The sequence below is a fragment of the Homo sapiens genome, chromosome 1, assembly GCF_000001405.40.
Source record: "Homo sapiens chromosome 1, GRCh38.p14 Primary Assembly".
Taxonomy (NCBI): domain Eukaryota; kingdom Metazoa; phylum Chordata; class Mammalia; order Primates; family Hominidae; genus Homo; species Homo sapiens.
Window position 1 is genome coordinate 146,314,213 of NC_000001.11, and position 22,125 is coordinate 146,336,337.

Genomic DNA, 22,125 nt, shown 5'->3' on the forward strand with positions numbered 1-22,125 from the left:
TCTAATGCTGTGAAGTATGTCACTGGTAGTTTCATAGGAATAGCATTGAATCCATAAACTGCATTGCGAAGTACAGCCATTTTAACAACACTAATTCTTCCTATCCATGAGCATGGAATCTTTTTCCATTTGTTTGTGTCATCTCTGATTTGAGTAGTGTTTTGTAATTCTTCTTGTAGAGATCTTTCACCTCGTTATCTATATTTCTAGGTATTTTTGTGTGTGTGTGGCTATTGTGAATGAGATTGCATTCTTGATTTTGACCCTCAGATTGAATGCTATTGGTGTATAGAAATGCCACTAATTTTTGTACATTAATTTTGTATCCTGAAACTTTGCTAATTGTTTATCAGATCAAAGAGCTTTTAGGCAAAGACTATGGGGTTTTCTACAGAATCATATTGTCTGCAGAGATAGTTTGACTTCCTCTTTTCCTTGGATGTCTTATATTTCTTTCTCTAACCTGTTATCTCTGACTAGGACTCTCAGTACTATGTTGAATAGGATTGGTGAGAGTGGGCATCTTTGTCTTATTCTGGTTCTCACAGGGAGTATTTCTAGCATTTGGCCCATTCGGTATGATGTTGGCTGTGGGCTTATCATAGATGGCTCTTATTTTGAAGTATGTTCCTCTAATGCCTAGTTTGCTGAGGGTTTTTAACATGAAGGGATGTTGAATTTTATTGAAAGCCCTTTCTGCATCTATTGAGATGACCATGTGGTTTTTGTTTTTAGTTGTTTATGTGATGAATCACATTTATTGATTTGCATATGTTGAACCAAACTTGCATCCCAGGGATAAAGCTTGCTTGATTGTGGTGGATTCGTTTTTGACATGCTGCTGGGCTTGGTTTGCTAGTCCAGCAAATTGAGTCGTTGAGGATTTTTGCATCTATGTTCCTCAAGGTTATCCATATTCAGAACTCTATTTTTGTCATGTCAGCCTGGTTAAGAACCACTGTTGGGGAAATAGCGCAGTTGCTTGAAGGTAAGAAGGCACTCTGGCTTTCTGAGTTGCCGGAGTTCTTGTGCTGGTTCTCACCTGTGTGGTCTGATGTTGCTTCAACCTTTGAAGTTGCTGTTTCTTGGATAGGTTTTTCTGCTTTTGTCTTCTTTGATGCCCTTGGGGGTCTGAATGTTGCATATAATGGGCTCAGCCAAGTGGCCTCATTTCTGGAAGATTGTAGGGGCCAAGGCTGAGCTCAGCACTCATGAGCTGTGTATTCTAACTCTGAGGAGGCTGGTACTGGACCTCTGGCTTTGTTTTCTAGCCCCTCAAGGTTAGGAGCCTAGCAGGTGTCTTAAACTGTTTTCTGTTGCGATAATAGAATACCTGAGAGTGGGTAACTTATTAAAAAGAGTTTTATTTAGCACTTGGTTCTGTTGGCTGGGAAATTCAGGATCAGGCAGCTGTATCTGGTGGGTTCTCATGACTGCCTCATGCTGCATCAAAACATCGTAGAGAAACAGAAGGGGACCGAGTTTGTGCAAACAAAAAGCGCAAAATAGAAGAGGCAGCACTGTTTTATAACAACTCACTCTCTTGGGAACTAACCATTCCCAGGAGAACCCAGTCTCAGTGTCAAGAGAAAGATGTTAATCCATCTTAGCAACCTAATTACCTCTTAAAAGCAGCATCTCCCAACACTATTACATTGGCAATTGAACTACAACGTGAGTTTTGGAGGGGCCAAACAACATCCAAACCATAGCAGCAGGTTTAAAGGTAAAAGGATGGGAGAAAAGTACACAGAAAGATATTCTGGAGAAAAGGCACAGAGTGAGCCAAGGCACAAGGTAAAATGTTTGACTGGTTAGAGACGCTAGATTATTTTGTGTGGCTAAGACAAAACAAAGCTGGTGGGGAGTGGCAGGAGGTAAGTCTAGAATGGCACAATGGGGCCAGACTGCGAATGGCAAACTGAAGTATGTGATCTTTTATTCTAAAGAAAATGTAGTATGATTAGCACAAAAAAAAGAAAAATTATTGGCCGGGCGCAGTGGCCCATGCCTGTAATCCCAGCACTTTGGGAGGCCGAGGAGGGTGGATCATGAGGTCAGGAGTTCAAGACGGTGAAACTCCATCTCTACTAAAAACACAAAAATTAGCCAGGAGCTGTGGCAGGTGCCTGTAATCCCAGCTACTCAGTAGGCTGAGGCAGGAGAATCACTTGAACCCGGGAGGTGGAGGTTGCAGTGAGCTGAGATCGCGCCACTGCACTCTAGCCTGGGCGACAGAGCAAGACTAAAAATAAAAATGAAAAAATTATTATCCATGGTATTATCATGGTAGTACTGACTAAAAGAGGGACACGTGTAACAAAATCAGTAAGGAGGGTACTCCAAGAATCCATGTTAAAGTTAATGAGGGCTCGAACCCAAACATAAAGGATGGAAATGATGTAATAAAACCCCACCTTTTGAAAGTTATATTTAAAAATTTTTGGTTAATAGTCTAGTTAGAGGTGAAAGAAGAAAGCAGAGGAGTCTAATGCAATGCGTGACTTGTAGCTCAGGTAAAGGGGTGGCAGGTGACGCTTAAATACTAGAAATATAAGAAGAAGCACAGGTTTGGTTTTATCTGTGAGAACAATGGAGTGGAGGTATGCTTTAGATGCAATTATTTATGGGATATTCAAAACAGATATCTATGAAGCAAAAAACTTGGGCCCAAAAAACAAGTTTGAAGGTATATTTGGGAGTTACCAGTAATATAGGTAACTGTTGAAGCTCTAAATATAGAAGACAAACTAGAGGAGCTTGTTTCTTGAAGAATTCTTGTCACACTTGACATTTTTTACAGAGATTTCTTAAAACAGGGGCATATCTTCTTTGGCTAACATATGCAGACTAAAATGAAAGAGTATAGTATATTATAAAATCAATAAAAGGTAAGATAAATTTAGGCCTAAAAATAAAGAATAAATACACTCAGTTGATTCTGAAGCTCTAATTTACAGATGCAAAATTGTACCAGTACATTAACTCATATGTCAAAACAACATCTAGAGAAACAAAAAATGAAAGTAAAATGGAAAAAGATAAAAGAAGTGAGGCAAGGAGAAGAGAATGGGCAAGAGGAGATAGGAAAAACAGGAATTTTTTTTTAAGGGCTAAAATTTTAGTGAATCAGATGTGGAAAACAGTTGGATTAACATTGAGATCAAATGAGAAAGGAGCAAATAAGGAAAGATGTATTACAAACCAAGAGTAAAAAAGGGAAAACAAAATAACAAAAGCAAAAACTATTTAAAAAGAATAAAGGAAGACGTGATAATGAAGTAAATTTAAAAAGTACGGAATAATAAAAAGAAATTGCAAAAAATACCTTTTGAAAATAAACATACTAATAACTTGACAATAAAGTGAAATGTGTAAGACAAACATATCTGTGTCATTATTTAGGAGTAGTGAAAAGTACTCTTAAATAATAATTTGGTATCTAGCAGGCCTGGATTTGAATCTACTTTAACTTGCTAGCTATGTGACCTTGGGCAAGCAAAGAAACTCCTCATAACCATTGTAATAATACCACCAAAATGCCTTACACTTACGGCTCAAAAAATGAAGGAAATGAGAGAAAAAAGTATAGATTACTATATGGAAGTCAAATTTCTAGTGACTTTTCTAATCCAAACATGAATTGTTACAGTACTTGAAATAAACTTTATGAGAACTGAGTGACTACATTGCTTCAGATAGTTTTATACTGCTAGGTCAGCGCTGCCTGACAGTAATAAGAACAGGATGTGAGATTCAATATGCTCATTCTATCTCAAACTCTGTCACACATACAATGACTGCTATTTACCTTCCTCCTGAGCCATCTGGGAAAAAACCAACCAACCAAACAAACAAACAAAAGAAACACCCACCAGGTAGGAGTCAGTCAGTTCTGCTAACTAACTAACCAAAAACCTTAATTGTATGGCCACCAGCACCCTAGCCCTTTGTCATGAAAGCTACCAATAAGGTGGAAATTTAAAATATGAGATATTTTATTATACATGTTTTATTAAACCCTATATGTGCAGAAATGATTGTCCATTTTCCTTCTTAACTTGCTTTTGTAAGACTTATTAAGTAGAAAATATAAATCTCAAGCTCCTTAAATGTGATTTTGAGGAACTGAGACCAAAACAATTTTTTGCTGTGGAACCAGATCCTTGAATGCACTACAGGAAAATATTATTTGATATGAAATTTTTTGGGTACACACAATTTTTCAAAAATATATCTCTCTCCACAAAGTTAATTCAAATTGTAGAATTCTTCCAAGTCACAAATGGAGTTTTCAAGGCTCTGGGTACTTACCTTTGAGTTCCACATCCTTTATCTCTGGAGCTCTTAACTGAGGGAACATGGACCATTAGGTCATGAACAGACTTTGTAGTCTTTGAACAGCCTGAAACAGTATGTGATACTTGATGTGCATGTACACAGGAACATTTTTCTAGAGTAATGGCACATACCTTTCATCAGATTTTCAAAGGTTTCTCAAAATGCTCAAGAACCGCTGTTAGATATTTAAATAACCAGAGTGTACAGTGTCCAAATATTTCCAAATTTTGACACTTGTAAGATGTCTTAATTAAAACAAGCCATGAAGTTCAGCGTCACAATAACCAGAAAAGCACTTGTGAGAGTAGTTCTATGTCTTTACTTCCTAGTGGTTTACACACTCTTTAACCCATATGGCAATCTGGCTTCTGTCTCCGGTGCTCTGGAATTACTTCTGCCTGTATGATTAAGTTCCTCATTGTTAAATTCGAAAATACATTCTTTGGTATTTATTTGACCTCTTGGTGGTAATATAGTGTAAGAGCACAGACTCTGGAGCCAAACTGCCTAGGTTCAAATCTTAGCTCTATTACTTTCTAACTCTGTGACTTTGGGCAAATGACTTAACTCTCTCATGCCTCAAAGCAGAATCCTTTGTAAGGTTTATTTATATAGTGGTGTAAAGAGTACTTACTTCAAAAGCTTTGGTCAGTGTGAGAAATAAGCTCCTAACAAAGAAAGTGTTATGTAATAGTTATTATCTGGTACCTCTGATCACATCATTTTTGAAAATCACTTGAAATCTGCCTAAGTTTCATTCTGCCTTTGATGGCTCCTTATTTTCATCTCCCTACTTCAGGCTTCCTCCCTAATATATCTTTTATGCCAATATTATGATCACTTGAAACTATAAATCTGATGCCATCCTTGGCCACTACCATTAAGATGGTCTAAACTCCTCAGCATGATAGACAAGTCCCTTTATGATAGTGTACCCATCTAGTTCTCATTCCTCAAGTCTCCTCTGTTGTCTATGCTTACCCTATGGGCTAAGCTGAATCAAGCTGTTACATTTCCAAAATATGCCTCACTGTCTTTATTCATGCCTTTGCACATGCCATTGACTCTTCCTAGAATGCCCCATTCTCCTTCTCTAGAAAGTCTTCTCTTAACATACTTCTTCCCAAAATAAATTAGGTGTCCTTTCTTAATATGCCTCCAATAACCCCATACAGTATTTATCCCATTCTATTTTAGATGCCAGTTTGGTTGATGATACATTTCATCTAGTCAGATCTTCCCACTGTCTCTTATAAAGAAAACCAGGAGCCATATTATGATATTCTTGTTCTCTAATTTTTCTGCTGCCCTGATCTTAAACCACTTTCTTCTCCCTTTGTTGACAATTACCCCACCCCTTATTTCTTAATTAGCTCAACAAGATTAGATAGAAATGTATCTACAAAGGATATATGTATATAAATTAACTAGATAACAAAACTTCACACTGAAGTGAACATTCTACAAGTATTTCTTTCATTGCTGACCATTAGGTTGCAGCATGCAACTCTCAACAATGAGCTGCCCCTCTCCACTCCTATAGAAGCTCCAAATACTATGGTACCACTATGTAGGTTTTCAGCCTTTCAAAGGCTTTTATTATTAACATCATCATTACTTCAGCAGGAGCCTTTTAGGGACTTAAAAGCACTGATTATCTATAAAAAGTAACTTCATATTTCATGCACAAAATTCCCAATTGGCAGATTTAGGTCCATAAAAGAAAGGAAAAAAATTATTCTAGTTATATAAATTATCAGGAATAAAATAGCATTTCTCCTTGCCTTGTTATAAGGAAATAATATATTTTTCCTTACCAGGAATCAGGATAGTATCTTTGATGATCCCTCAGGGTTATAAAATTGCTTACTGGTTAAAGTTTTTTGCCAAAGATATTAAGAAATAAAAAGTTTGCTCATTTTCCTGTGCAATTTAAAGAAATATTTGCAGTATGTACAGGAATTTTAAGTTATATTGCAGACCCTGGCAATAATATTTAAAAGGCCTATTTTCCCCATTAAAAAATTTACCCCATTAAAAAAGGTAAAAGGAAATCTCCATCATCCCTGAGCAGAAAAGGAAAAAATCATGGGTACTTTAATTAGTTAATAGAAACCACTGTAAATGAGTTATCTATCTCCAGAACATTCTCAGAGAATTTACACGAACTAAAACAGGAATGAAGTGCTCTCAGAGACTTTTTCTCAGGTAAATGTATTTAGTAGTTTGAGTAGTTGATCTGCAAAAACTTTAACTTTAATTAACTACATAGATGAACATTTTTTATTTTGAAATTTGAGAATGTCCTAAGAGGATGTCTACAGGATATGAAACTACTGGGTGCAGGAAAATTTTTTAAGTGTTAGCAAATTGTGGCAAGAGGAAAACAAACAGTGGAGAAAACTGTGGTAGAGAAAGTAAAGAAGGGGCAGGAGAAAGCTGTAATTATAACCTGGGCCTGCCTTTGTTCTCATGAAGCCAGGGGCCTCTCCATATCCTATACTTGCTCTTACACTAATAACAAACCAAATGCTGCAAAATAAAAGTAATAATGACCCAAACTAATTTAAGTCTTTTGTTTAAGGAGTAAATGAGAGAAACATTTTAGCTTCTTAATCAAGGAGTGCTATAATTTCAAGGCATCTTAATATAATTCACTTACCCTAAAGCAATTGTGCAATAAGCAAATTATAAAAGGAAAACAACAAAGGTTAACTTTCTACAGGGGCCAATAGACAAGATCTGTGGAGCACAGCAATTAACCTTCACATACTGGAGTCTTGTTTAAAAGGCCATCAAAAACTCAGATTACTGAAAATCACAAATGTCACCAACAAAAGGAATGTTGATTAGAGTCAAAAAAAAAAAAAAAAAAAAACACCTTCCCAAAGGACTGCCTTCTTTGAAGGAATTTCAGAATGTTGCTAGCACAGGTTGACTAAGTTAAATCTCATTGATGGCTCCATCAGAGAATGAGAATGCCCCAGCCAGTGCTGTTTTTAAAATGCACTGGGAGGGAAAAAACGAAATAACAATCTACTATTCCCTAATATATATGGCTTGGCACCCAGAGAAAGCCTCTGCCCCCGAAAGAGACTTTCTACATAGGGTTAAGCTTCATTAAATGAGGTGCAACCTTTCATTTTCAGGACATCTCTTTTCTTGCAAGGTCTTTAGAGGCAGAAGTTCCACTTGGATTCTAATACACATCTCTGTGAGCTCAGTTTCCTGAAAATATACACCTACTGGGTTCTAGGTTCTCCCTTACCAGTGACTGTATTCATTATTTCACAGCCACCAGAATCGGACATACACTATTAACATGATGAAAAATACAGCTACTGCTGCAAGTTTGGCGTAAGTGGAACGCATGTTCAAGTACTTCGCATCCTGGCGGTATTTCTTGGACAGACTGGACAAATTGTTAGCCTTTGAATCCAATGCTGTCAAAGAGGAAAAAAGGAAAACATTAATTAGTCCCTGGAAGTATTTTACCGAAAGTATTAAGGCATTAAAAATAACCAAAATGAGCAGCACTGCAACAACCATGAATCTTAAATCATCATTTTTATTTTGAGGCTAACATTGCATATACTAATTAACTGATGATGCTGATCAGATTATGTCTGAATTTTTGAGGCTATATAGTAAGGTGGTTAGAAGTGCAGGTTCTGGCCTCAGACTCTTTGGTTCAGATATCACCTGTACAAGTTATGTGACATTGGTCAAGTCATGTAACCTATTTAAAACCTAGTTTCTTCATCTATAATTGGGGATAATAACAGTAACTATGTCATAAAGTTGTATGTACATGAGATTGCCTGTAAAGTGAGCAGCAATGCCTGCACATGATAAATTATAATAATTATTACATGTTAATAATTATTATCTTCATAATCTTCTAATGGTCTGAATCATATTCTCTTATATTTTGAAAAACGATAATGATAATCCATGTAAAACAAACTCAGATAACCAGAAAATTCAATTTACCAAACACAGTCTTAAGCTATACTTCAATGATGACTGCTAACATTTCTAAGATTCTCCACATAGTAGAGACTACTATGAAGTTAAAGCTATCAGGATTTATATTTCAAAAGACATAGGAAAGTTGTAACTAAAATACAATAAGTACTACAAAAAAAAACGCAAGTAAATTAAGCTTTTTAGTATTTTCTGGCAAGTTTTTTCACCCCCAAGGACATTTGTAATGTTGTTATCTTCTTATAACAGTTAACTAAACACTTAGAGAAATAGCCAGATAGACACAAGCTAGACCATATTAAAATATAGGGCATATTTTAATAATAAACACAAACTCTCCATTTGACATAATAAATTCTGATCAAACTTTTCACTTCTTGAAATTTCAGAAAAAACTATTTTGCAATCCGGTTGTTTCTTCCTTAAAGAATGCTTTTGGAATATTTGGAGTTGCTTAATAGAGACTGGTTTTGATTGGGAAACATGGCGTTACTTAATAACACAGGCATGACAGCCACGTCTGAATTAGCAACTGATCACATGAGTAAGAAAAACATCTAGTCACGGAAGAAGAGTCAGGGACTGAGAAATAACCATGACAATGCACAGGGCATCTTTTTACAGAGCCTACAAGAATATACACTTCACTGGACAGGGATTTTAAATTATTGTGTTTGCTGCTATATCCTGAATGCCCAGAACAGGGCCTGGTATATAGTTAGTGCTCAATAAACATTTGCTAAATGAATCTAAATCTGCTGAGAATAACTCAGCAGAGGAACAATTATTAGACCCTATGAAACAAGTCATAGTTGAGAGAATTTATATATGAACGTTTTGAAATACAGGATAACATAAAGACAAAGCTATTGCTTGGAGAAGTCATTTAACAAATATTTATGTGACAGGCACCATGTGAAGTGCTGAGGATACAACAGTGATCACAATATACATGATCCCTGCCTTTAAGGAATTTAGAGTCTTGCATGAGTGATACAAGAAAAATTCCTGTGCTAGTCTACTTTATCCCATATAGGAATTGCAAGTCTGTATGACAAAACCTTACACACTCACTCACTCAAAATTTGGTATTTAAAGAGTGTGAAGGTAAATGAATAACTGCTCACTACTCAAAAAAAGGTTAAAGTTTGTAGTTCATAATAAAAGAAAACTCACTTACTAATGAATATATAGCATGGCTGAATTCAAAAATACTTATTAAGGAAACTATTTGTGACCATTTCTGTGGGGGATATATAAGGAGTATGTGAAACAGATATAAAATACATAAGCACTATCTTTAAAGAGCTTACATGTCCACATTAAACACTTAGGTAATATTGAAATATCAGGTAAATATACATATACTTTTAACCTAATTTTACCTAATTACCTACACTTTTAAAATTATATAAAGGGCTGGGTGTTGTGGCTCATGCCTGTAATCCCAGCACTTTGGGAAGCTGAAGTGAGTGGATTGCTTGAGCCCTGGAGTTTGTGACCAGCCGGAACAACATGGCAAAACCCCATCTCTACTAAGAAAATACAAAAATTAGCCAGGCGTGGTGGCACATGCCTGTAGCCCCAGCTACTCAGGAGGATAAGGTGGGAAGATCGCTTGAACCCAGGAGATGGAGGTTGCAGTGAGCCAAGATCGTGCCATTGCACTCCAGCCTGGGCAACAGAACAAGACTCTGTCTCAAAAAAATATATGAAATTATATAAAAATATTTAATTATCCAAATATGTTTGCCTACTTTAATATAAATATATGAAACATATACTTATGTTATATGGAAATATATTTAATATATATTAAATATATATTTAATATATATTAAATATATATTTAATATGGTAAGAGGTATTTAATAAATATATTTAAGGTAAATTAGGTAAACACGCATACATGTAATATGTGCTAAAACCATTATGTTACTAAGTGCTTTAGGAGTTTAAAGGACAGAAGAGATTAGTGTGATACAGGCTATAAGGATCAGAGAAAGGTTCTTTAAAGAGACAGTTCTTATGGAGGTCTTACATACAGAACAGGTCCAGCATAAGGCAGAATAGACCACTAAGGATAGTAAAGAAGCTGGTGTGGCTACAGAAGAATGTTTGTGAACTAGAGAATGACAGACATTTGCATCTTCCTTATTTTCCATATGTAGAGCACAACGCCTTACAAATAACAAGCTCTCAATAACAATGGCTGACTGACGGAAAAATAAGTCAGACTGGATCTTATCTTGTAGTCCCAGATTTAAAAGTTTTTCAGAGAGGAATGCCTTGATGAAAATGGCATTTTATAAAGATTGATCTGGCAGCAGTAAAGTCTCCCAAAGAGGCTACTCAAAAAACCACTGCAATACATTGTTGAGTTTTCTCTCACTCATTTCCCTTAATTTATACAAGTTACATAATTTAATTAATTTTGTGAATATCTTAGAAATAATCATTGCTTCTAATATGGATGAGTCCTTTACACTGTTCCAACTCAATAAAAACTAATCATGCTAGGAAAAAAAATATATTGGAAGCATTGTAATGTAATGTACTTCTGGGAGATAAATTCTTAACAGTTCTAGGTAGAATCTAATAGCATAAAAGGCACTGCAAAATAAGCTATCCTTGTCTATGGAATGAGAACCATTTCTTCATAAGACTCATTGCTTTTAGATACCTGAGAGTGCTTCTCCTCGTTGTAACACTTCTTCGATATTGGCCACCATGAGCCTCTGCACATCTTGCAATTCAGTGTTGATGGAGCCTAGGTTTCTTCAAGCACAACTGTCAATGTAGAGCTTCTTGGTTTTCTGAATGAAAGTATCTAGAATGATGAAGAAAACTGACCATTTCTTTCATGGCCATCAAAGTACTGAGGTAGGAAATTAAAAGTTCTGAGTTGGCCAGGTGCAGTGGCTCACACCTGTAATCCCAGCACTTTGGGAGGCCAAGGCAGGTGAATCATGAGGTCAGGAAATCGAGACCATCCTGGCTAACACAGTGAAACCCCGTCTCTACTAAAAATATAAAAAGTTAGCCAGGCGTGGCGGCACACGCCTATAATCCCAGCTACTCAGGAGGCTGAGCCAGGAGAATCACTTGAACTTGGGAGGCAGAGGTTGCAGTGAGCTGAGATCACACCACCACACTTTAGCCTGGGTGACAGAGCAAGACTCTGTCTCAAAAACAAAAACAAAAAAACCAAAACAGTTCTGACTTTATTCCTGGATTTGCCACTGTCCATGGTTAACCAAACTCTTGGTTGAATATCAAAATCTAGGCTTTGATTATTTCATTTGTAAGATGTAAAGGTATAATTAGACGACCATTCAGGAGAAATGTCCTTTGAATACCTTTAAATTAGAAGTATTTGCTATCTAAGGCTGCTATCAGAATCCTTAGAGAAATTAAGACCCACTATAGTAAGCCTTTCCTGAAAACAGAAATTTTCAAACAGTATTCTGAGGACCCTTAGGCTAAGTGTTACTTACCTCTACACATTCCTTAAAAGGATGCTGGTAACACTCTAGCATTATTACAGCCTAACATGGCAAAAGGGCTCATGATCATTAAAAAGCTGAGAAACTTAACCTTATTTTCTCTAATATACATTCCCAGTTTCATTCCATTCTTAAACCTCAGGTAAAGCAAGTATGTAATAGGGAGTTTTCCAAAATACCAATATAAAACTGAACTGAAGTCTCGGCCAGGCACTGTGTCTCACACGTATAAATCCCAGCATTTTGGGAGGCCAAGATGGGTGGATCACTTGAGGCCAGGAATTCGAGACCAGCCTGGCCAACAAGGCAAAATTCCCATCTCTACCAAAAATACCGAAATTAGCTAGCTGGTCATGGCAGCGTGCACCTCTAGTCCCAGCTATTCAGGAAGCTGAGGCACAAGAATCACTTGAACCTAGGAGGCAGAGGTTGCAGTTAGCCAAAATCATGCCACTGCACCCCAGCCTGGGCAATAGAGCGAGACTCTGTCTCTAAGTAAATAAATAAATAAATAAAAACTGAAGTCTCATCCATCTTTTGCTCATATCAGTATTTCTCAAAACTATAGGAAGAACGACTTATTATTAAAGATATTTTCAACTTTTGGCAAAAATCTTAATTTAAGTGTGCTGTACCCCTTTCATTTGCCTCTTTAGATCTCCTCTCTGCCCTCCTGCACCTTGCTTTCTGCACTGGGAAGCTGACTTGGATGAAGCGCCTCAATAGACTCCTTGCTCTGTGCCAGTTAGGTTCAGGCAATGAAGAAGCCCCAACAGTAGGGAAGAAGGAGAACAGACAGTGAGTGATGTCCGGGTATTTGTTCCCCTGGCTTCTTTCAGAGAAGGAAATAACCTTCTTCTGGAAGTATCCCTCTACCAAAAGTTACGCTCCTCTCAAGTTGGCCTTCTCTAGAAATTTTCTCCTTTTCAGTTTCAGAAACTGCTCCTCCCCCTTATACATTCAGGCCTAGGGATGGTAACAACCAGTATGCTACTGGTCAGAGGTTACTGTACCTTGTAATTCTCCTACAGCCTAGTCATATCTTTGTATATAATCCCTTAAGCTAATTTGGGTGTGCCATCTGTTTCCTGTATGACCCTGATACATTTGTCTTATTTTTGAGGGAGGTTTATGGGAGTATTACTGTCTATAAAAATAAAATTTGAAAAACTGGACATTATATAAAGCAGCACTTGGAGAGTATATAGTTATGAAACACTAGAGTGTTTTTCCAAAGCAAGATGACCCATTTATCTAGCAAACTTGAAACACTTCAAAAATTCTAAGCCAGTAAAACCAATTTCTCTTTTAACTAAAAATTTCAGCGATATAGCCTGATCCTACTTGTTCTCACTCCCTGTACTTACTGTACTTAGGACATTTCCTTTGATCCCTTACCATCAGATACTTTACCAGGTCTGATTAGTAATTAGTCTTTCTATAATTCTTGTACAAATACAGACACCTATGCTCACTATTCCTGAATGTAGTAAATATTATACCCCAATACCATGAGTACCAGGTATCTTCTATTTCTTTGTTCTGTTTTGTTTTTTTAATTAGAGGATCTTATTCTACTAAAAGAAACAAAACATCATTCTTTCTGATTTCCCAATTCTGATCTCCATAAAATGAGCCTTATTGTGAGTGTGAGTCTGTGGACTGGGGTAAAGAAGAACTCAGCCATTATATGCCAATCAAGTAGATCTTTAGCAAAGTTCCTGTCACATGTGACTCTAAAGAAGAATCAAACCAAATAACAGAAAGGGCAAAAGGCAACAATTTCTATGGGGGAAAGATCAAAAGACTAGAGAAAATTACTTTTCAGAACAAAGCCTTAGTCACTCAAAAAGACAAAAAGAAGTGGAATGGAAAAGGAAGCAGAAGCTAAAACTTCAGCAAGTAAACATCAGAAAAAATGTATAAATATTATATCAGTGTAACAAATAGCTTCTCCATATTGTTTGCTCCCTTGATAGAGAGAAGTGAGGGGCAAAAACTTACCAAATTCAATAAAGGAATAGGGTTGGGACACAGTGGGCACCTTCTTTCCATGCTGTTCATCAAATTCTGAGTGCAAATCTTCTAGGTAGGCAAAAGCCAACTTCTTAGGGAAGGCAGCTTCACATAAAACCAAATCACACACCCCCTGCTCAATAATGTAGCTGGTGAGACATAAAAAGCAAGACAAAGTTGTCTGTAAAGTAATAGCACTGACAACAGTTTAAAGCAAAATCTCTGTACCATGCAAACTTTTTTAAAAATCTAGCCTAAATACTTTGAGGCTGGCTAAACGAGAGTCAATTTAAAACCGCAAATCCTTGGAATCAGAAAGCAAACATCTTCCCATTATTAGATGTATATTCTTTTTTTTTTTGTTTTTGGTTTTTTTTTGTCGAGACGGAGTCTCGCTCTGCCCCCGGGCTGGAGTGCAGTGGCATTATCTCGGCTCACTGCAACCTCCGCCTCCCGGGTTCAAGCCATTCTCCTGCCTCAGCCTCCCGAGCAGCTGGGACTACAGGCGTGCGCCACTATGCCCAGCTAATTTTTGTATTTTTAGTAGAGACGGGGTTTCACCACGTTAGTTGGCCAGGATGGTCTTCATATCTTGACCTCGTGATCCGCCCGCCTCAGCCTCCCAAAGTGCTGGGATTATAGGCGTGAGCCACTGAGCCAGGCCATTCTGTCTTTTTATATAATGTAACTTGTACTTTTATGTAGTAAATTATCACAATGGTGTCAGACACTCTGAGGAAGAGTATTTTACTGTATCATTCCCATTACCCAATCAGGAAGTCTTAACAGGCAGATTTTAACAAAAATATAAGACACAACTGTGCCCTAGCTTTTCTCACATACTTCCTACCTCACACCTCACACATTTCTTTTTCTCAGCACCCACTCTTAAGTAATAATTTATTTCCCCTGAATATTATTTACCTTCTGTGGGCTACTTTACATATCATCTGAAAGCATGATCAAAACAGTTATATTTGTGAATAATTTTATTTTGGTTTATTTCTTAGCAGAAGGAGGAGTTAATAGTAATATTTGTAGGCCGGGCACGGTGGCTCACGCCTGTAATCCCAACACTTTGGGAGGCCGAGGCTTGCGGATCATGAGGTCAGGAGATCGAGACCATCCTGGCTAACACGGTGAAACTCTGTCTCTACTAAAATACAAAAAAATTAGCCGGGCGTGGTGGCGGGCACCTGTAGTCCCAGCTACTCGGGAGGCTGAGGCAAGAGAATGGCGTGAACCCAGGAGGTGGAGCTTGCAGTGAGCCGAGATCGCGCCACTGGGCTCCAGCCTGGGAGACAGAGCGAGACTCCATCTCAAAAAAAAAAAAAAGGAACATTTGTAATCTCCCAGAGATTGCCAAGGAAAACATTCTCCTGGCTGAATTTATGTAGAGTTCATCATCTAAGCATAAAATATTTTATAAAGGAATGGGCCAATCAAATAACTGCTATGCGGTTGACACCATAAACCAAGTTAGCTTAGTACCACTCTAAATAGTTGTTGGGAATATAATGATTTTCAAAGACATGATCTCTAGAAATAAATAACTAAAAGAGAAGCACGGTGTCATGCATTTATGCATACACATAAGCAGGGACTAGAGATCAAGAATAGAAATAAAAGAGGTTTTTACACTTGGGGTGCTAAGGTCGCAATGATTTATTTGGAGAGAAAACGGAAGCCCTTCTTTAGTAAATGCAAAGCACCATGTGTTTAATGAAGATACATGACCTAAGCTTTGAAGATCGTTTAACTAATTCAATAACCTTGCCAAGTATGCATTACTACATCTCAACAATCAAATTTACAGTGACATCTTTGAGTTAAATCTCTCCATAGATGTCTGGAAACAGCTTAATTCTGTTAACTGCTGCCCATTGAATTATGCTTTATTTGGTCGTAGAATTTCATGTCATCTGTTAGTCTCCCTCACAACTTGGGAGATGTTATTCCTGTATTGTCTGTTCTCGTTGATGAAGAGAAGTCTGTGATAAAGTAATTGTCCTTCCTTTGCAGGTAATCTGCCTTCCATCTCTGGTTGATTTGAAAATATTGTATTAGTCTTTAGTATCTTGCATTTTACTGTGGTATGTCTACATATGGATTTATACTTACTGAGTTTGCTCAGAGCTTGGAGTATTTCCTCAGTCTTAAAGGCCCTAGTTGTGAAAATGTTACTACAGAAAAACTTTCTTTTTTTAACTTAAAATCCTTTTTATTGGGAAATAAATGTAAGATTATAGATAAGTTTGAAAATAAAAGAATTGTTAGAACAAAAAATACTCATATGCCTGTTACCCTAATTTGTCTATTATTATTTTATTAAATTTAGGTTACCATTTGTTCTCTCTCTCTCTCTCTCTCTCTCAATATATATCCCAATTTTCAGTCTTTAGATCTAAATCTTTCAGCAACCTGGACTATCATGGCCCCAGTGTAATGCTTGGCTTTGTACCTCATGAGGGAAGAAATTTTTTTTTTTAATCTTAAGTTCTAGGGTACGTGTGCATCACATGCAGGTTTGTTACATAGGTATACATGTGCCATGTTGGTTTGCTGTACCCATCAACTTGTCATTTACATTAGGTATTTCTCCTAATGCTATCTGTCCCCCAGCCCCCCACCCCCTGACAGGCCCCAGTGTGTGATGTTCCCCACCCTGTGTCCATGCATTCTCATCGTTCAACTCCCATCTGTGAGTGAGAACATGCGGTGTTTGGTTTTCTGTCCTTGTGATAGTTTGCTGAGAATGATGGTTTCCAGCTTCATCCATGTCCTTGCAAAGGACATGAACTTATCCTTTTTTATGGCTTCATAGTATTCCATGGCACATATGTGCCACATTTTTTTAATCCAGTCTATCACTGATGGACATTTGGGTTGGTTCCAAGTCTTTGCTATTGTGAATAGCACCACAATTAACATACGTGTGCATGTATACATCTTTATAGTAGCATGATGTATAATCCTTTGGGTATACACCCAGTAATGGGATCGCTGGGTCAAATGGTATTTCTAGTTCTAGATCCTTGAGGAATCGCCACACTGCTTTCCACAATGGTTGAACTAATTTACGCTCCCACCAGCAGTGTAAAAGCATTCCTATTTCTCCACATCCTCTCCAGTTTCTGTTGTTTCCTGACTTTTTAATGATCATCATTCTAACTGGCATGTGATGGTATCTCATTGTGGTTTTGATATGCATTTCTCTGATGACCAGAGATGATGAGCATTTTTTATGTGTCTGTTGGCTGCATAAATGTCTTCTTTTGAGAAGTGTCTGTTCATATTCTTTGCCCACTTTTTGATGGGGTTGTTTTTTTCTTGTAAATTTGTTGAAGTTCTTTGTAGATTCTGGATATTAGCCCTTTGTTAGACGGGTATATTGCAAAACTTTTCTCCTATTTTTTAGATTGCCCGTTCACTCTGATGAGAGTTTCTTTTGCTGTGCAGAAGCTCTTTAGTTTAATTAGATTGCATTTGTCTATTTTAGCTTTTGTTGCCATTGCTTTTGGTGTTCTGGTCATGAAGTCTTTGCCCGTGCCTATGTCTTGAATGGTATTGCCTAGGTTTTCTTCTAGGGTTTTTTATGGTGTTAGGTCTTTCATTTAAGTCTTTAATCCATCTTGAGTTAATTTTTGTGTATGGTGTAAGAAAGGGATCCAGTTTCAGCTTTCTACATATGGCTAGCCAGTTTTCCCAGCACCGTTTATTAAATAGGGGATCCTTTGAGGGAAGAAAATTATTTCTAATATTTTAATCCAGCTATGTATGTAAAAAGAAGTCTTTTTCATATTTTATCTATTATTTCTGTATGATTGGAGTATGAGTCAAAACATCTCAATATAAATAAAAAGTTACATTTCAGTAATTTTTTTTCTAAAATTACAAAACACTAGTGGTCAAAAACACTACTATTTCCAATTCTCTTTACTTTGTTAACATTACTTTTTGTACTTATGAGAGAAGAGTTTGCAATCCAAAAAGAGCAGGAAGGAAGAGAGATTAGAGATTTTTTCTCCCGCTTGCTCTATACATATGAGATATTTATATATCTATATATCAACAGTTGACCTTTGAATAACACTGGTTTAAACTGTGTGAGTCCACTTATAGGTGGATTTTTTCAGCCAAATACAGATTGAAAATATAGTATTTGTGGGACGTGAAACCCACATATGTGGAGGGCCAACTTTTCATATGCGAGCTCTGCAAGGTTGACTGTGGGACCTGAGTATGTGCAGACTTCGGTATATGCAGGGCTCCTGAATGCAATACCCCACTAATACTGAGGGATGACTGTATATGTCTCTATCTATCTACTCTATCACATATATATATATATATATATATATATATATACACACACACACACACAAATATGTGTATATATATATATGTATGTGTGTATATATATATATATATACTTCCTATATTACTTTGCTAGGGTTGTTATAACAATTACTGCAGACTGGATGAGTTAAACAACAGAAATTTATTTTCTCACAGTTCTGGAGGCTAGAAGTGTGAGGTCAAGGCATCAGATATGTTAATTTTATTCTGAAATTTCTCTCCTTGGCTTTTAGATAGTCATTTTCTCATCTTGTCTTCTCATGGACTTTTTTCTGTGCACATGTATGTCTGTACCTAAATTTCCTCTTCAAATAAGGACACCAGTGATATTGGATTAGGACCCAGACATGTGACCTCATTTTACATTAGTTACCTCTTAAAAGTCTCTATCTCCAAATATAGCCACCTTCTGATATACTGGGATGGCAGGGGGCAGGGTACAGCATATTAATTTGGGGAAAGGACACAATTCAGCCTATAACATATGCAATATATTCTTCTCTGATCTATATTATATAACTTTTATATATAATACATATATAATTTAATATACATTTTAACCCCTTGATTAATTTTCTCACTGCAGAGAAAACAAGAATTAAAGAAAAGCTTCAGGTGATACCGTTTTTGAATGAGTAAGAATTGAGCCTACCCTTAACACAAGAATGAAGTAGAAATAAACTGACTTAGGGAACAGCATAAAAAAGTTCTCTTATGAGTCAAGATTTCAGTGTGATGTCATCATTTTTTCCAGGGATTAAATGTTAGAATATATTGCATGCCCATATTGAGGTGGAATCATAAACTTATTTCAGACTTATTATAATGGCTCATTTTCTTATGCCTTCACCATTGAACTTGTACTTAGCTGGGGATTGAGCTGAAAGTTTGCCTTTTCTGTATCTAGCATAGTTGCACCAAATCTGACCTTAATCCCAAATTTTCCTCTCTGTAATATCTTGTTTCCAAATGAGGCTCACATTGAATTTTCTCTTGTTAGAAATATAACTGGCAAGACCAATCAAAACCATTCATTCCATTCAGTTGCCTGTGAACAAGCTTGATTTGCTTTGTTATTAATATAGCTTCTTGTGGGTTAAGTAGAAAGCTCTTTTGTAAATATCCCTCAGTTTAAGTACATATGGTTTACATTTCCAGGTAAACTATAAATTCTCTAAGAAAGGCCCAGCACAGTGGTTCAAGCCTATAATCCCAGCTCTTTGGGAGTCTGAGATGGGTGGATCACTGGAGGTCAGGAGTTTGAGACCAGCCTGGCCAATGTGGTGAAACCCCATCTCTACCAAAAATACAAAAATTAGCCAGGCGTGGGGGTGCACGCCTGTAATCTCAGCTACTCAGGAGGCCAAGGCAAGTGATTAAACCCAGGAGGTGGAGGTTGCAGTGAGCTGAGATCACACCACTGCACTCCAGCCTGGGTGACAAGCTGGACTCTGACTCAAAAAAAAAAAAAAAAAAAAATTCTGTGAAAAGATCTGTGATTTCCATTCTCCTTTATAGTAATTGTTAAGCACTCACAATTAGATGGTTATAACAACTATCAAAGAAAAACAATTATTTTAATAAATATTTTTCATCATTTTCTCCTTTCTAAGCCCTATGCTATGCACTAAAAACTGCAGAGAAAATCAACACATTCTCTACCTCACAGCAGATTTCTTGGAGAGAGATAGGGGTGGGGAGGGGAATAAGGGTTGCTAAATGTTGTCAACTTTGTAATACAACTCTCAAAGGGAGATAGTTATTAGGGAGGCAAAGTGCTCAGGCTCAGATTTCAGGTTGCCTAGATTTGAATTCTGTCTTCACTGCTTCTTTTATGATTTGCCCAAATTACTTAAGCTCTTTAAACCACAGTCTCCTCATCCTTAAGGTAGGGATAATAAATAGAACTTATCTCATAAAATTACTGTGAGGATTATAAGTGATTATGAAGTTGATTAAATTTCCCCAGTGCTTCATACAAAGAAAGGACTCAAAGGATATGCTAGTTCATAGTAGGGGCATAGAAGAAGATATCCCTTCTCTCCTGGGATATAGGGTATACATAACTGTCCACTATAAAATTGAAGATAGGCTAGAGAAAAGCTAAAAATGAAGAATCTAATAACTCTTTAGCCAAGAGAAAATGAAACATGAGGGAAAGGGAGAAGTTCCAAATGAGGTCCACATTTGTCGTGGGCCACTGAATGGTGGTGCCATTCAGGCAGAGGAAACCCAGAAGGAGGAGTCATTCTGTAGTTAGAGGGCACTTAATGAGATAATATTAGAGATAACTGAGGTTGAGTTGTTGGTACATATCTGGGTGCAAAGTCTCCATAGGTCCGGAATTTTGAATAGTTTTCTGGAGTCATCTGGTTATTGTTAAAGCCAAGAGAATTGGTGAGATCACAGAATACAATAATGATCAATAAGAGGGAAGGGAAGAGAGCCAAGAACGGGAGACTGGGAAGCATACACATTTAATTAAGGTTTGGTAAGGTGAAAGGTGTCAGCAGAGAATGTAAAGGTGAAATAATGAGAGAAAAAGGAGGACATCAAGGAGAAAGTCGTGTTTTGAAAAAAACAAAAAGGACACATTTTCAAGAAAGACATTGTCAATAGTTTAAATGTCAAAAAATAGTAGAGTATAATGCAATTAAAAAAAACAAAATCTATTGCTTTTGTTAATTAAATAACTAGTAACCTCGGCTGCAGCAGTTTCAGTAGAGTGAGGAGAGTTGACACCAAACTGCACCAGTGGAGTGAAAATAAGTGGGAAGAAAGAGTGAGGAAGTGGAGGACAGTCTTTTTTTTTTTTTTTAATAAAATATTTTCCCAAACTGTCTTTTCTGGAACTTCCAACATGTCTGCTTAAGAGCTTGTTTAAGTTGAATTCATTCAAACTTCTTGAACCTAATTAGTTTCTTTTTGCTGTTTTTTTTTTTTTTTTTTTTGAGATGGAGCCTTGCTCTATCACCCAGGCTGGAGTTCAATGGTGCAATTTCGGCTCACTGCAACATCCTCCTCCTGGGTTCAAGCAGTTCTCCTGCCTCAGCCCAATTAGTTTTAAAGACGCTGCATATATTGGCAGGGAAAACCTAGAACACAAAGTCAAACTTCCAATTATCTCCCTTCAGTGTTCAAATCAAGAGTTCATTTGTTGCAAGGAATGGGGATCTGGACTCCAGGGACAAGAATAGAGTTTTAGGAGGAGAGTTTTCCTAAAACTAAATGGAAGGAGGGTTCTTTGAGATACCAAGGACTTGCAGGACTTTATTTACAATGAAATGTTAGTTTCAGACAGCCCAGGAGGAATAGGTCTATTAAAGGAAAGCAAGAGTAGTTGGTGTAAGCAAACAATTTGCATTGGAGCCTAAGAGTGAGTATAGTAATGACCACATGAGAGGCCCATTTGACTCAAGTACTTCAAAGCATTGCCAGTGTTAGCCTTTGCTCCACAATCAAGTGGGGAAAAAGTGAAATGTCTTTGAAGAGCATTTCCTGTAGGTGGCCTTTGAGGAGGTCCTGAAAATTCCAAACCTGCAAGTATTAATGGCAAAGAATAAAAATTTCTTTATGTAAAATAATTTTAAAAATCTTTCTAAATAGCAAGACATTATATATTACCATTGTTAAAAGATAAACAAATTGAGAAATATCATTAGAATTATATGCAGCAGATAAAATGGTCACTTTTTTTTTGAGACGGAGTCTCGCTCTGTCGCCAGGCTGGAGCACAGTGGCGTGATCTTGGCTCATTACAACCTCCAACTCCCTGGTTCAAGTGATTCTTCTGCCTCAGCCTCCCGAGTAGCTGGGATTACAGGCACATGCCACCACCCCAGCCAATTTTTGTATTTTTAGCAGAGACGGGGTTTCACCATGTTGGGCAGGATGGTCATGATCTCCTGACCTTGTG

General features: G+C 37.1%; 1 pseudogene; it reads right to left on the reverse strand.

Annotated features, from left to right (window-relative positions):
• Positions 1–1,344: 1,344 nt before the first annotated feature.
• Positions 1,345–22,125, reverse strand: part of SEC22B4P (SEC22 homolog B4, pseudogene) — a 61,006-nt pseudogene continuing 40,225 nt past the window's right edge.